This window comes from Homo sapiens, chromosome 3 (assembly GCF_000001405.40).
Source record: "Homo sapiens chromosome 3, GRCh38.p14 Primary Assembly".
Lineage (NCBI taxonomy): Eukaryota > Metazoa > Chordata > Mammalia > Primates > Hominidae > Homo > Homo sapiens.
Genome location: NC_000003.12, coordinates 136,964,112 through 136,979,429, shown reverse-complemented (window position 1 = coordinate 136,979,429; position 15,318 = coordinate 136,964,112). Strand labels below are relative to the sequence as shown.

Below are 15,318 nucleotides of genomic sequence, written 5' to 3'. Positions count from 1 at the left end.
CATAGTGGGGGTGGGGCTGGAGTCCTCATTTGGGACTTTTCATCTCTGTGCCTATCTCCAGATTGGCACCTGCTGTTTGTTATCAAGCCCTGTGACCACAAAGGGATGGAAGGCTGCTGGGGACACCCCACCTGGTTTCCCTGCCCTTTCTCTAATGTAGGGCCCTAGTGATGCACCTCCATCTCACCCTCAGCATCCATGGTCTGTTCTGTGGGGAAACACCTGGAGCACCCACAAGGCAGTCTTCCTGACCCCCACCCACCCCTAAGCTTGAAATCACCCAAGGGATGGAAAGGAAAAGGGGTAGAGTGGTACAGGAGGACAAGGAATGGTCCCCTCTGACACCTTCCTCTGGTAAAGTTTTAAAAAAATTCTCTAGCCAGCTATTTGGGGAATATAAACCTATATAAATACAAAGCTACATTTTATATAACTAATTTAATTACATAATTAAATTATGTCAACAAATCAATTTATTAATTAATGTAATTTAATTATATAACTTTAAAGCTCTCAAAAATGAAATCTCCAGGCACAGATGGTTTTAATGGAAAATTCTACCAAACATTTAAAGATGACAACATCAACAAAATGCAATTTCCTCTAAAACATAGAATAGGAAAGAACAGTTTCCAGCTTACTTTATGAGGCCAGTATTACCATGATACCAAAATCAGATGAGGAAAATATATACATAAACTACATAAAAATATATCTCATGAACTTAGACAAAAATCTTCAACAAAATATAGCAATCCAAATTCAGTAATGTACAAAAAGAACTATATACCATAACCAAGTGGGATTTGTTCTAGGTATGCAGGGCTGGTTCAACATTTGAAAATCAGTTAATGTAATTTACCATGTCGATAAACTAAAGAATAAAATCATAAATCATATCAATTGACACAGAAAAAGGATTTACAAAACCCACATCCATTCATTATGAAAAACAAGACAAAACAGGCCAGGTGCGGTGGCTCACACCATAATCCCAGCACTTTGGGAGGCCGAGGCAGGCGGATCAGCTGAGGTCAGGAGTTCGAGACCAGCCTGACCAACATGGTGAAACCCAGTCTCTACTAAAAATAGAAAAATTAGCTGGGTGTGGTGGCACTCACCTGTAATCCCAGCTACTTGGGAGGCTGAGGCAGGAGACTTGCTTGAACCTGGGAGACGGAGGTTGCAGTGAGCCAAGATCAAGCCATTGCACTCTAGCCTGGGTGACAGAGCAAGACTCCATCTCAAAAAAAAAAAAAAAAACAAGACAGAACCAAAAACTCTCTTCAAGTTAAGAGCAGGCAGGGAGTTACCACAACTTGATAAAGACCATCTACAAAAAACCTACAGCTAACATCTTACTTAATGGTGAAGGACTGAATGCTTCCTCTCCAAGATCAGGAATAGGCAAGAATGTCCACTCTTACCACTCTTATTCAACATACTACTGAAAGTTCTAGCCACTGTAATAAGGCAAGCAAAATAAGTAAAAGAAATATAGATTATAAAAGAAGTAGTAAAACTTGCCCTATATGCAAATGACATGATATGCTCTCCCACATGTAGAAAAGTCCCACAGAATCTTAAAAAAAAATCTAAAACCAGGCCAGGCCTGGTGGCTCACGCCTGTAAACCCAGCACTCTGGGAGACCAAGGCAGGCAGATCGCCTGAGCTCAGGAGTTCGAGGCCAGCCTGGCCAACATGGCAAAACCCCATCTCTACTAAAAATAGAAAAATTAGCTGGGCGTGGTAGTGCGTGCCTGTAATCTTGGCTATTCAGGAGGCTGAGGCAGGAGAATCGCTTGAACCCAGGAGGTGGAGGTTGCAGTGAGTTGAGATTGCACCACCGCACTCCAGCCTGGGCAACAGAGCAAGACTCCATCTCAAAAAAAAATTATATTTCTATATACCAGCAACAAACACATACACAGAAATTAAAATTATAATCACTAAAAAAATAGGTGTAAATCTGACAAAATATACTCAGGGAAAACTCCACAATGCTAAATGAAATCAAAGAAGATTTAAATAAATGGAGAGACATACTGTGTTCATGCATTAGAAGATTCAACAGTTAAGATGCCAATTCTCCCCCAAATTGTATATAGGTTTAATGCAATTCCTATCAATAGTTCAGCAAGCTTTTTGTTAATATAGATAAGTTTTTCCTAAATTTTATAAGAAAAGTCAAAGGAACTATAATACATAAAAGGAGGGGGAGGGGCTTCAAGATGGCTGACCAGAAGCATTTCATGCTTACCTCCTCCACTTAGAAGAACCGAAATCATGTATATACAGTCACACTTTGAATACATTATCCAAAAGAAAACACTGGAACTCAACAGAAAAGTTACAGGAAACACCAAAAGCAAGGAAGGAGGAGGAGAGGCAGCCTGCTTGGCTAGGATCAGCTGGCAGCCAAGAGTGACTTCTCAATGTGGGCAGAGTAAGTGAGAGACTTCTGGTGGCCCTCATTCCCACCATGGAATCATGTAGTCCTGACCGTGAGAGAATTCCTCAACCCTCCTAAGCCCTGAAAACATACATAGGGAGCTGCCAGTAGATTGGGGGACAAAATTGTCCCAGGAAGGGAACTCATGCTGCGTCCCACACTTTTTCTGAGACCCAAACAGTTACAGCAAGGCACCATTTTAAATCCTAGTCTTTGGCAGATGCACATGCTATCCTGGTGGCCAGCAGCACCAAGACTGAAGCATTAGGGAAACTCAGGCTATTGCTGCTGAGACTGGGGCACAAACTGGGAATGAGCTCCCACAGCTGAGACTGAGAATCAAATGAGGCATGGGCTGCAGCTGACAATGCTGGGAAGTGAGTGCTGCCGGGGCTGAGACTGGGAGGAAAACAGGCACAAGTTGCCACTGGGACTTAGTCACAAGCTGGTGGGGACTCCTGCAGCAAGGTAAGGGCTCAAGCTAGGTGTGGCTGGCTGCTGCCAGGGCTGGGGGGTAAGCCCCGCCAGGGCTGTGAAGCATGAGACAGGTGCATATTCCCCACCTACTGGCCCAGGCTGTAGCCACAGAGGTCAGCCCCACCTTCTCCAGTGGGAGGACCTCAGCATGGCTACTACCACTCCTCACCCATGCATTCCACCTGAGACCTGAGGATTGCCCTGACCCCTACCCACCATGACTGCTGCCTGCTCCCACCATTGAAGGGCCTGAGCACAAGCCCACCCAACCCAGCTTCACTCCCTTCTCTGAGACACAGCACATAGGCCAGGGCCTTGGAGGGTGACAAGGGCACCTTGGGCACCTTAGTACTCCTTCTGGGGTCCTGAGGTTGGGCCTAAACTCTCAGCTGCCATCACCTCAACTGGCACCTACTTGCAAGTACCACCTGCAGTCCTGGAGACTGTCCTACACACTCTGTCACACCCACTGCCATCATAAAAGGACAACTCTCGGAACCCAGATAATTATCCTGCCACTGCTACTGCCATCACTTGTGCCATGCTAGCTGTCCAGGGCCCCAAGAACCCACCTCCTTGCCCAGTCCACCACTACCACTGCCAGCATCCAAGCAAGCCATGTGGAGGCCCAATGATCAGCATTCTGGTAACCACCAACACCAGTGCCCGCATACATAACCCTGGGAAACACGGACAGGCATACTCAGACCACCACTGCCACAATTGGGGCCTGTAGACCAGCCCATCTGGCATCCCACAGCACAACTTCACCACAGACTCCAATAACTGTACCCTAACCCACTGATGAAATCACATATACTACTAACGCTGCAGCCAAAGTACCCAGAATAAAAGCAAAAATGGGCCAGGTGCAGCGGCTCATGCCTGTAATCCCAGCACTTTGGGAGGCAGAGGCAGGTGGATCATGAGGTCAAGAGATCAAGACCATCCTGGCTAACATGGTGAAACCCCATCTCTACTAAAAATACAAAAATTAGCTGGGCATGGTGGTGTGTGCCTGTAGTCCCAGCTACTCGGGAGGCTGAGGCAGGAGAATTGCTTGAACCCGGAAGGCAGAGGTTGCAGTGAGCCAAGATTGCACCACTGCACTTCAGCCTGGCAAGAGAGCGAGACTCCATTTCAAAAAAATAAATAAAAATAAAAATAAATAAATAAATGCCAAATGCTGTAGCCAATGAACACCACAGATACATCTTCAGGAAAACATCCTCCCCTATGGAAGTAAATTCAAAAATGGGAAGAAGAAACTGTTATACCAGATGTGCAGATATCAACATAAGAACACAAGAAACATGAAAAGGCAAGGACATATGACATCTCCAAAGGAACACAATTCTCCAGCAATAGACCTTAATCAAAAAGAAATTTTTGAAATCCCAGAGAAGGAATTATTAAACACACTGATATTAAAGAAGCTCAGTGGGATACAAGAGAATTTGGAAAAACAATAAAAAGAAATCAGAAAAACAATTCAGAATATAAATGAGAAATTTCCAAAGAGATAGATATTTTTTAAAAGAACCAATAGAAATTCTGAAACTGAACACTCATTGAAAGAAATACAAAATACATTTGAAAGCTTCAACAATAGACTAGATCGAGCAGGAGAAAGAATCTCAGAACTTGAAGACAGGTCTTTTGAAATAATCCAGTCAAAAGTTTTTAAAAAGAATGAGCAAAAGCTTCGTGACATTTGAGATAACACAAAGCAATTGAATTTATGTATTATCAGTATCCCTAAGGGGAAAGAAAGAACAGAAGGACTAAAAAGCCTATTTAACCAAATAATATGTTAAAACATCCTATGTCTAGCAAGATATTTAGACATCTAGTTACAGGAGGCTCATGATGTCCAGAGAGATACAATGTAAAATGGTCATTATAGTTAGACTGTCTGAAGTCAAAGATAAAGAGCAAACCCTAAAAACAGCTAGAAAAAAAGCATCTAGTCTGATGGAAACCCCATCAGTGGATTTCTCAGCAGAAATCGCATAGGCCAGAAGAGAATGGAATGATATATTTAAAGTGCTGAAAGGAAAAAAAGAAAAACCTGCTAGCCAAGACTATTACATCTGGCAAAATCATCCTTCATAAATCAAAGTGAAATAGTCTTTAACAGACAAACGAATATTGAGGGAATTTGTTATCACTAGACCAGACATACAAGAAATGTTCAAGGGAGTCCTAAACCTGAAATTGAAATAATAACATTTACCATTATGAAATCACATGAAAGTATAAAACTCATAGGTAAAGCAGTCACACAAAGGAGGAAGAGAAAGGACTCAAATGGTACCACTACAGAAATCCACTAAAACACAATGAACAATAGGAGAAAAAGAAAACACTAAATAATATGTAAAACAAACAGAAAAAAAATTAACAATATGACAGGAAAAAACCTCACATATTAATAACCTTGAATATAAGTGGATTAAATTCTCCATTTAAAAGATATAAAATGGCTGAATAAATAAAAAAAAAGTTCCGACTATATGCTGCTTACACGAAATTCACCTTACCAGTAAAGACATATATGGACTAAAAGGGATGGAAAAATATTCTCCACACAAATGAAAACCAAAAGCAAGGAGCAGTAGCTATACTTATATCAAATAAGATAGACTTCAAGTCAAAAGCAATTAAAAAAAGACAAAGAAGGTTACTATATAGTGATAAATGGATCAATGCAGCAAGAAGTTATAACAATTCTAAATATATATGCACCCCATACTGGAGCACCCAGAGTCTTAAAGCAAATACTACTAGATCTAAAGAGAAAGACTACAATATAATGACTGGGGATGGGGGACTTTAACACCCCACTCTCAGCATTAGACAGATCATCTGGACAGAAAATCAACAAAGAAACATTGTACTTAAACTGGACTTTAGACCAAATGGACCTAACAGATATTTACAGAACATTATATCCAACAACTGCAGAATATATATTCTTTTCATCAGCCCATGGAATATTCTCCAGAATAAACCATATGTTAGGTCACAAAACGAGTGTCAACAATTTTTTTTTTTTGAGATTCACTGCAACCTCCGCCTCCTGGGTACAAGCAATTCTCCTGCCTCGGCCTCCTGAGTAGCTGGGATTACAGGCATGCGCCACCATGCCCGGATAATTTTTTTTTTTTTTTTGTATTTTTAGTAGAGACAGGGTTTCACCCTGTTAGCCAGGATGGTCTCTATCTCCTGGCCTTGTGATCCACCCATCTTGGTCTCCCAAAGTGCTGGGATTACAGGCGTGAGACACTGCGCCCAGCCAACAAATTTTTAAAAATCAAAATCCTATCAAGCATCTTCTCAGAGCACAATGGAATAAAACTAGAAACCAACACCAAGAAAAACTTAAACTGGTGTAAAGTCCAGTTTAAGTACATGGAAATTAAACAACATGATCTTGAATGACCATTGGGTCAACAAAGAAACTAACATGGAAATTTTCAAATTTCTTGAAACAAATAAAAATCGAACACAACATAGCAAAATCTGTGGGATATATCAAAAGCAGTAATAAGAGGGACATTTATATCAATAAATGCTTACATTGAAAAAGTAGAAAGATTAAAAATTAACAATCTAACAATGCATCTCAAGGAACTGGAAAAGCAAGAACAAAGCAAACCCAAAATTAGGAGAAAAAAGGAAATAATAAAGATCAGAGCAGAATTTAATGGAATAGAGACTAAAAAAAATACATCAAGAAAATGAAAAAAAAAAATTTTTCTTCAAAAAGATTAACAAAGTTAATCTTAAAACCACTAGCTAGACTAATCAAGAAGAGAGGAAACCCAAATAAAGAATATCAGAAATTAAAAAGAAGATGTCACAACTGATACCACATAAAATCATCAGAGACTGTTATGAACAACTATAAGCTGACAAACTGGAAAACCTAGAAGAAATGGATCATTCCTGGACACAAACAACCTACCAAGATTGAATCAGGAAGAAAAAGAAAACCTTAACGATGGATAATGAGTAGCAAGATTGAATCAATAATAAGTCTCCCAACAAAGAAAAGCCCAGGATTAGATGGATTCACAGCTGAATTCTACCAAACATACAAAGAAGAATTAATATCAATCCTCCTGAGACTATTGCAAAAATCAGAGACAAATGGGACTGCATTAAACTAAAAAGCTTCTGCACAGCAAAGGAAACAATCAGCTGAGTGAAGAGACAATCCGTTGAATGGGAGAAAATATTTGCAAACTATTCATCCAACAACAGAGTAATATCCAGAATATACAAAAAACTCAAATAACAACACTAAAAAACAAATCCCCAAAAGTGGGCTAAGGACATAAGTAGACATTTCTCAAAAGAAGATATACAAATGGCCAACAGATATATGAAAAAATGTTCAATATCACTAACCATCAGAGAAATGCAAATTGAAACCTCAATGAGATGTCATCTTACCCCAGGTCAGAATGGCTATTACTAAAAAGACAAAAAATAACAAACGTTGATGAGGGTGCAGAGAAAAGGGAACTCTTACACACTGTTGGTGGGAATGTAAACTAGTACAGCCACTATGGAAAACAGTATGGAGATTTCTCAAAAAACTAAAAACAGAATTACCATTCCATCCAGCCACCCCACTACTGGGTATCTACCCAAAGGAAAATAAATCAATATGTCAAAGGGAAACCTCCCTTTTCATGTTTATTGCACCATTACTCACAATAGCAAAGATATGAAATCAACCTAAGTGTCCATCAGTGGATGAATGGATAAAGAAAATGTGGTACATATACACAATGGAATACTATTTATTCAGTCATAAAAAGAAAGGAATCATGTCATTGGCAGCAATGTGAATTGAACTGTATCTTAAGTGAAATAAGCCAGAAACAAAAAAACAAATATCATATGTTCTCACTTACATGTGGGAGCTAAACGATTTTATCATACAGAGGTAGAGAGCGAAAAGACAGATAACAGAAACTGGGAAGAGTGAGTGGGGTGGGAGTGGGAGGATGAAGAGACGTAGGTTAAATGGTAAAAACATACAGTTAGATAGAAGTGGCCGGGCGCGGTGGCTCACACCTGTAATCCCAGCACTTTGGGAGGCCAAGGTGGGCAGATCACTTGAGGTCAGGAGTTCAAGACCAGCCTGGCCAACATGGTGAAATCCCATCTCTACTAAAAATACAAAAATTAGCCGGGTGTGGTGGCACATGCCCATAGTCCCAGCTACTTGGGAGGCTGAGGCGGGAGAATCACCTGAACCTGGGAGGCAGAGGTTGCAGTGAGCCCAGATGGCGCCATTGCACTCCAGCCTGGGCAACAGAGTGAGACTCCGTCTCAAAAAAACAAAACAAAACATATAGTTAGAAGGAATAAATTCAATACCTGATAGCAGACTAGGGTTATCTATAGTCAACAAAAATGTGTTGTACTCAGGTGATGACTCTCCTAAGTACCCTGAATTTATCACTATACATTATATACAGTAACAATATTTCACATTTACCCCACGTGAAATAAAGAAAATAGAAAATAAGGCCAGGCACAGCGTCTCATGCCTGTAATCCCAGCACTTTGGGAGGCCGAGCCGGGCGGATCACGAGGTCAGGAGATCGAGACCATCCTGGCTAACACGGTGAAACCCCATCTCTACTAAAAATACAAAAAATTAGCCTGGTGTGGTGGCACACGCCTGTAGTCCCAGCTACTGGGGAGGCTGAGGCAGGAGAATCGCTTGAACCTGGGAGGCGGAGGTTGCAGTGAGCTGAAATTGCACCACTGCACTCCAGCCTGGATGACAGAGCGAGACTCCATCTCAAAAAAAGGAAGGAAGGAAGGAAGGAAGGAAGGAAGGAAGGAAGGAAGGAAGGAAGGAAACTAGAATAACTAAAACCATTTTAATTATAAAGTGAGAGGAATCAATCTACCCAATTCCAGGACTTATGGTAATTAAAACTATATTGTATTGGCAAAGGAATAGACCCAAGATCAATGAAACAGAATAGAGATTCCAGAAATAAATCCACACAAATGTGCTCAACTGCTTTTTGACAATTCCAGACAAAAGTAATCCTAAAATCCAATAGGCTTTTAGGCCTGGCATGGCAACTCACACCTGTAATCCCAGAACTTTGGGAGGCTGAGGCAGGTGAATCACTTGAGCTCAGGAGTTCGAGACCAGCCTGGGCAATATGGCAAAACGCTATCTCTATAAAAAAATACAAAAATTAGCCAGGGGTGGTGGTCTCAGCTAATACAGTCCCAGCTACTTCAGAGGCTAAGGTGGAAGGTCACCTGAATCCAGGAGGTTGAGACCGCAGTGAGCTGTGATTGAGGCATTGCACTCTAGCCTGGGGTGACAGAGTGTGACCCTGTCTAAAAAAAAAACAAAAAAACAAAAAACAAAAAAAACGCTTTAAACAAATAATACTGGAACAATTGGATATCTGCAGGCAAACAAACAAACAAACAAAACCTCAATCTAAACCTCACACCTTGTGCAAAAAAATGTAAAATATAAAACTCTAAAACTTTTAGGAAAAAACAGGAGAAAATCTTCAGGGCTGGGCAAAAAGTTCTTAGATGTGACACCAAAAGCAAAATCCATAAAAGAAAAACCATGATTTTAATTTTATCAAAATTAAAAACTTTTGCTATGCAAAAGCCCATGTTAAGAGGATGAGATGACAAGTTGCAAAGTGGAAAAAAAAACAGCAAACCACTATCTCACAAAGAACTAGTATCTAGAGAGGGAGGAGGAGCCAAGATGGCCGAATAGGAACAGCTCTGGTGAACAGCTCCGGTCTACAGCTCCCAGCGTGAGCGACGCAGAAGACGGGTGATTTCTGCATTTCCATCTGAGGTACCGGGTTCATCTCACTAGGGAGTGCCAGACAGTGTGCGCAGGCCAGTGTGTGTGCGCACCGTGCGCGAGCCGAAGCAGGGCGAGGCATTGCCTCACCTGGGAAGCGCAAGGGGTCAGGGAGTTCCCTTTCCGAGTCAAAGAAAGGGGTGACGGACGCACCTGGAAAATCGGGTCACTCCCACCCGAATATTGCGCTTTTCAGACCGGCTTAAGAAACGGCGCACCACGAGACTATATCCCACACCTGGCTCAGAGGGTCCTACGCCCACGGAATCGCGCTGATTGCTAGCACAGCAGTCTGAGATCAAACTGCAAGGCGGCAACGAGGCTGGGGAAGGGGCGCCCGCCATTGCCCAGGATTGCTTAGGTAAACAAAGCAGCCGGGAAGCTCGAACTGGGTGGAGCCCACCACAGCTCAAGGAGGCCTGCCTGCCTCTGTAGGCTCCACCTCTGGGGGCAGGGCACAGACAAACAAAAAGACAGCAGTAACCTCTGCAGACTTAAGTGTCCCTGTCTGACAGCTTTGAAGAGAGCAGTGGTTCTCCCAGCACGCAGCTGGAGATCTGAGAACGGGCAGACTGCCTCCTCAAGTGGGTCCCTGACCCCTGACCCCCGAGCAGCCTAACTGGGAGGCACCCCCCAGCAGGGGCACACTGACACCTCACACAGCAGGGTATTCCAACAGACCTGCAGCTGAGGGTCCTGTCTGTTAGAAGGAAAACTAACAACCAGAAAGGACATCTACACCGAAAACCCATGTGTACATCACCATCATCAAAGACCAAAAGTAGATAAAACCACAAAGATGGGGAAAAAACAGAACAGAAAAACTGGAAACTCTAAAACACAGAGCGCCTCTCCTCCTCCAAAGGAACGCAGTTCCTCACCAGCAACGGAACAAAGCTGGATGGAGAATGATTTTGACGAGCTGAGAGAAGAAGGCTTCAGACGATCAAATTACTCTGAGCTACGGGAGGACATTCAAACCAAAGGCAAAGAAGTTGAAAACTTTGAAAAAAATTTAGAAGAATGTATAACTAGAATAACCAATACAGAGAAGTGCTTAAAGGAGCTGATGGAGCTGAAAACCAAGGCTCGAGAACTACGTGAAGAATGCAGAAGCCTCAGGAGCTGATGCGATCAACTGGAAGAAAGGGTATCAGCAATGGAAGATGAAATGAATGAAATGAAGCGAGAAGGGAAGTTTAGAGAAAAAAGAATAAAAAGAAATGAGCAAAGCCTCCAAGAAATATGGGACTATGTGAAAAGACCAAATCTACGTCTGATTGGTGTACCTGAAAGTGATGTGGAGAATGGAACCAAGTTGGAAAACACTCTGCAGGATATTATCCAGGAGAACTTCCCCAATCTAGCAAGGCAGGCCAACGTTCAGATTCAGGAAATACAGAGAACGCCACAAAGATACTCCTCGAGAAGAGCAACTCCAAGACACATAATTGTCAGATTCACCAAAGTTGAAATGAAGGAAAAAATGTTAAGGGCAGCCAGAGAGAAAGGTCGGGTTACCCTCAAAGGAAAGCCCATCAGACTAACAGCGGATCTCTCGGCAGAAACCCTACAAGCCAGAAGAGAGTGGGGGCCAATATTCAACATTCTTAAAGAAAAGAATTTTCAACCCAGAATTTCATATCCAGCCAAACTAAGCTTCATAAGTGAAGGAGAAATAAAATACTTTATAGACAAGCAAATGCTGAGAGATTTTGTCACCACCAGGCCTGCCCTAAAAGAGCTCCTGAAGGAAGCGCTAAACATGGAAAGGAACAACCGGTACCAGCCGCTGCAAAATCATGCCAAAATGTAAAGACCATCGAGACTAGGAAGAAACTGCATCAACTAATGAGCAAAATCACCAGCTAACATCATAATGACAGGATCAAATTCACACATAACAATATTAACTTTAAATATAAATGGACTAAATTCTGCAATTAAAAGACACAGACTGGCAAGTTGGATAAAGAGTCAAGACCCATCAGTGTGCTGTATTCAGGAAACCCATCTCACGTGCAGAGACACACATAGGCTCAAAATAAAAGGATGGAGGAAGATCTACCAAGCCAATGGAAAACAAAAAAAGGCAGGGGTTGCAATCCTAGTCTCTGATAAAACAGACTTTAAACCAACAAAGATCAAAAGAGACAAAGAAGGCCATTACATAATGGTAAAGGGATCAATTCAACAAGAGGAGCTAACTATCCTAAATATTTATGCACCCAATACAGGAGCACCCAGATTCATAAAGCAAGTCCTGAGTGACCTACAAAGAGACTTAGACTCCCACACATTAATAATGGGAGACTTTAACACCCCACTGTCAACATTAGACAGATCAACGAGACAGAAAGTCAACAAGGATACCCAGGAATTGAGCTCAGCTCTGCACAAGCAGACCTAATAGAAATCTACAGAACTCTCCACCCCAAATCAACAGAATATACATTTTTTTCAGCACCACACCACACCTATTCCAAAATTGACCACATAGTTGGAAGTAAAGCTCTCCTCAGCAAATGTAAAAGAACAGAAATTATAACAAACTATCTCTCAGACCACAGTGCAATCAAACTAGAACTCAGGATTAAGAATCTCACTCAAAGCCGCTCAACTACATGGAAACTGAACAACCTGCTCCTGAATGACTACTGGGTACATAACGAAATGAAGGCAGAAATAAAGATGTTCTTTGAAACCAACGAGAACAAAGACACCACATACCAGAATCTCTGGGACGCATTCAAAGCAGTGTGTAGAGGGAAATTTATAGCACTAAATGCCCAGAAGAGAAAGCAGGAAAGATCCAAAATTGACACCCTAACATCACAATTAAAAGAACTAGAAAAGCAAGAGCAAACACATTCAAAAGCTAGCAGAAGGCAAGAAATAACTAAAATCAGAGCAGAACTGAAGGAAATAGAGACACAAAAAACCCTTCAAAAAATCAATGAATCCAGGAGCTGGTTTTTTGAAAGGATCAACAAAATTGATAGACCGCTAGCAAGACTAATAAAGAAAAAAAGAGAAAAGAATCAAATAGACACAATAAAAAATGATAAAGGGGATATCACCACCGATAACACAGAAATACAAACTACCATCAGAGAATACTACAAACACCTCTACGCAAATAAACTAGAAAATCTAGAAGAAATGGATACATTCCTCGACACATACACTCTCCCAAGACTAAACCAGGAAGAAGTTGAATCTCTGAATAGACCAATAACAGGCTCCGAAATTGTGGCAATAATCAATAGTTTACCAACCAAAAAGAGTCCAGGACCAGATGGATTCACAGCCGAATTCTACCAGAGGTACAAGGAGGAACTGGTACCATTCCTTCTGAAACTATTCCAATCAATAGAAAAAGAGGGAATCCTCCCTAACTCATTTTATGAGGCCAGCATCATTCTGATACCAAAACCAGGCAGAGACACAACAAAAAAAGAGAATCTTAGACCTATATCCTTGATGAACATTGATGCAAAAATCCTCAATAAAATACTGGCAAACCGAATCCAGCAGCACATCAAAAAGCTTATCCACCATGATCAAGTGGGCTTCATCCCTGGGATGCAAGGCTGGTTCAATATACGCAAATCAATAAATGTAATCCAGCATATAAACAGAGCCAAAGACAAAAACCACATGATTATCTCAATAGATGCAGAAAAAGCCTTTGACAAAATTCAACAACCCTTCATGCTAAAAATTCTCAATAAATTAGGTATTGATGGGACGTATTTCAAAATAATAAGAGCTATCTATGACAAACCCACAGCCAATATCATACTGAATGGGCAAAAACTGGAAGCATTCCCTTTGAAAACTGGCACAAGACAGGGATGCCCTCTCTCACCGCTCCTATTCAACATAGTGTTGGAAGTTCTGGCCAGGGCAATCAGGCAGGAGAAGGAAATAAAGGGTATTCAATTAGGAAAAGAGGAAGTCAAATTGTCCCTGTTTGCAGACGACATGATTGTTTATCTAGAAAACCCCATCGTCTCAGCCCAAAATCTCCTTAAGCTGATAAGCAACTTCAGCAAAGTCTCAGGATACAAAATCAATGTACAAAAATCACAAGCATTCTTATACACCAACAACAGACAAACAGAGAGCCAAATCATGAGTGAACTCCCATTCACAATTGCTTCAAAGAGAATAAAATACCTAGGAATCCAACTTACAAGGGATGTGAAGGACCTCTTCAAGGAGAACTACAAACCACTGCTCAAGGAAATAAAAGAGGACACAAACAAATGGAAGAACATTCCATGCTCATGGGTAGGAAGAATCAATATCGTGAAAATGGCCATACTGCCCAAGGTAATTTACAGATTCAATGCCATCCCCATCAAGCTACCAATGACTTTCTTCACAGAATTGGAAAAAACTACTTTAAAGTTCATATGGAACCAAAAAAGAGCCTGCATCGCCAAGTCAATCCTAAGCCAAAAGAACAAAGCTGGAGGCATCACACTACCTGACTTCAAACTATACTACAAGGCTACAGTAACCAAAACAGCATGGTACTGGTACCAAAACAGAGATATAGATCAATGGAACAGAACAGAGCCCTCAGAAATAATGCCGCATATCTACAACTATCTGATCTTTGACAAACCTGAGAAAAACAAGCAATGGGGAAAGGATTCCCTATTTAATAAATGGTGCTGGGAAAACTGGCTAGCCATATGTAGAAAGCTGAAACTGGATCCCTTCCTTACACCTTATACAAAAATCAATTCAAGATGGATTAAAGATTTAAACGTTAGACCTAAAACCATAAAAACCCTAGAAGAAAACCTAGGCATTACCATTCAGGACATAGGCGTGGGCAAGGACTTCATGTCCAAAACACCAAAAGCAATGGCAACAAAAGCCAAAATTGACAAATGGGATCTAATTAAACTAAAGAGCTTCTGCACAGCCAAAGAAACTACCATCAGAGTGAACAGGCAACCTACAGAATGGGAGAAAATTTTCGCAACCTACTCATCTGACAAAGGGCTAATATCCAGAATCTACAATGAACTCAAACAAATTTACAAGAAAAAAACAAACAACCCCATCAAAAAGTGGGCGAAGGACATGAACAGACACTTCTCAAAAGAAGACATTTATGCAGCCAAAAAACACATGAAGAAATGCTCATCATCACTGGCCATCAGAGAAATGCAAATCAAAACCACTATGAGATATCATCTCACACCAGTTAGAACGGCAATCATTAAAAAGTCAGGAAACAACAGGTGTTGGAGAGGATGTGGAGAAATAGGAACACTTTTACACTGTTGGTGGGACTGTAAACTAGTTCAACCATTGTGGAAGTCAGTGTGGCGATTCCTCAGGGATCTAGAACTAGAAATACCATTTGACCCAGCCATCCCATTACTGGGTATATACCCAAAGGACTATAAATCATGCTGCTATAAAGACACATGCACACGTATGTTTATTGCGGCACTATTCACAATAGCAAAGACTTGGAAC

General features: G+C 41.3%; 1 protein-coding gene and 1 long non-coding RNA gene across 8 annotated transcripts in view; one reads left to right on the top strand and one right to left on the bottom strand.

Moving 5' to 3' along the window:
* IL20RB-AS1 (IL20RB antisense RNA 1) overlaps window positions 1-15,318 on the top strand; it is a 36,206-nt gene that overhangs the window by 2,762 nt on the left and 18,126 nt on the right. The window lies entirely within an intron of this gene.
* The window catches only part of IL20RB (interleukin 20 receptor subunit beta), a 53,103-nt gene that overhangs the window by 31,656 nt on the left and 6,129 nt on the right, over window positions 1-15,318 (bottom strand). The gene's annotated exons all lie outside the window — the stretch shown is intronic.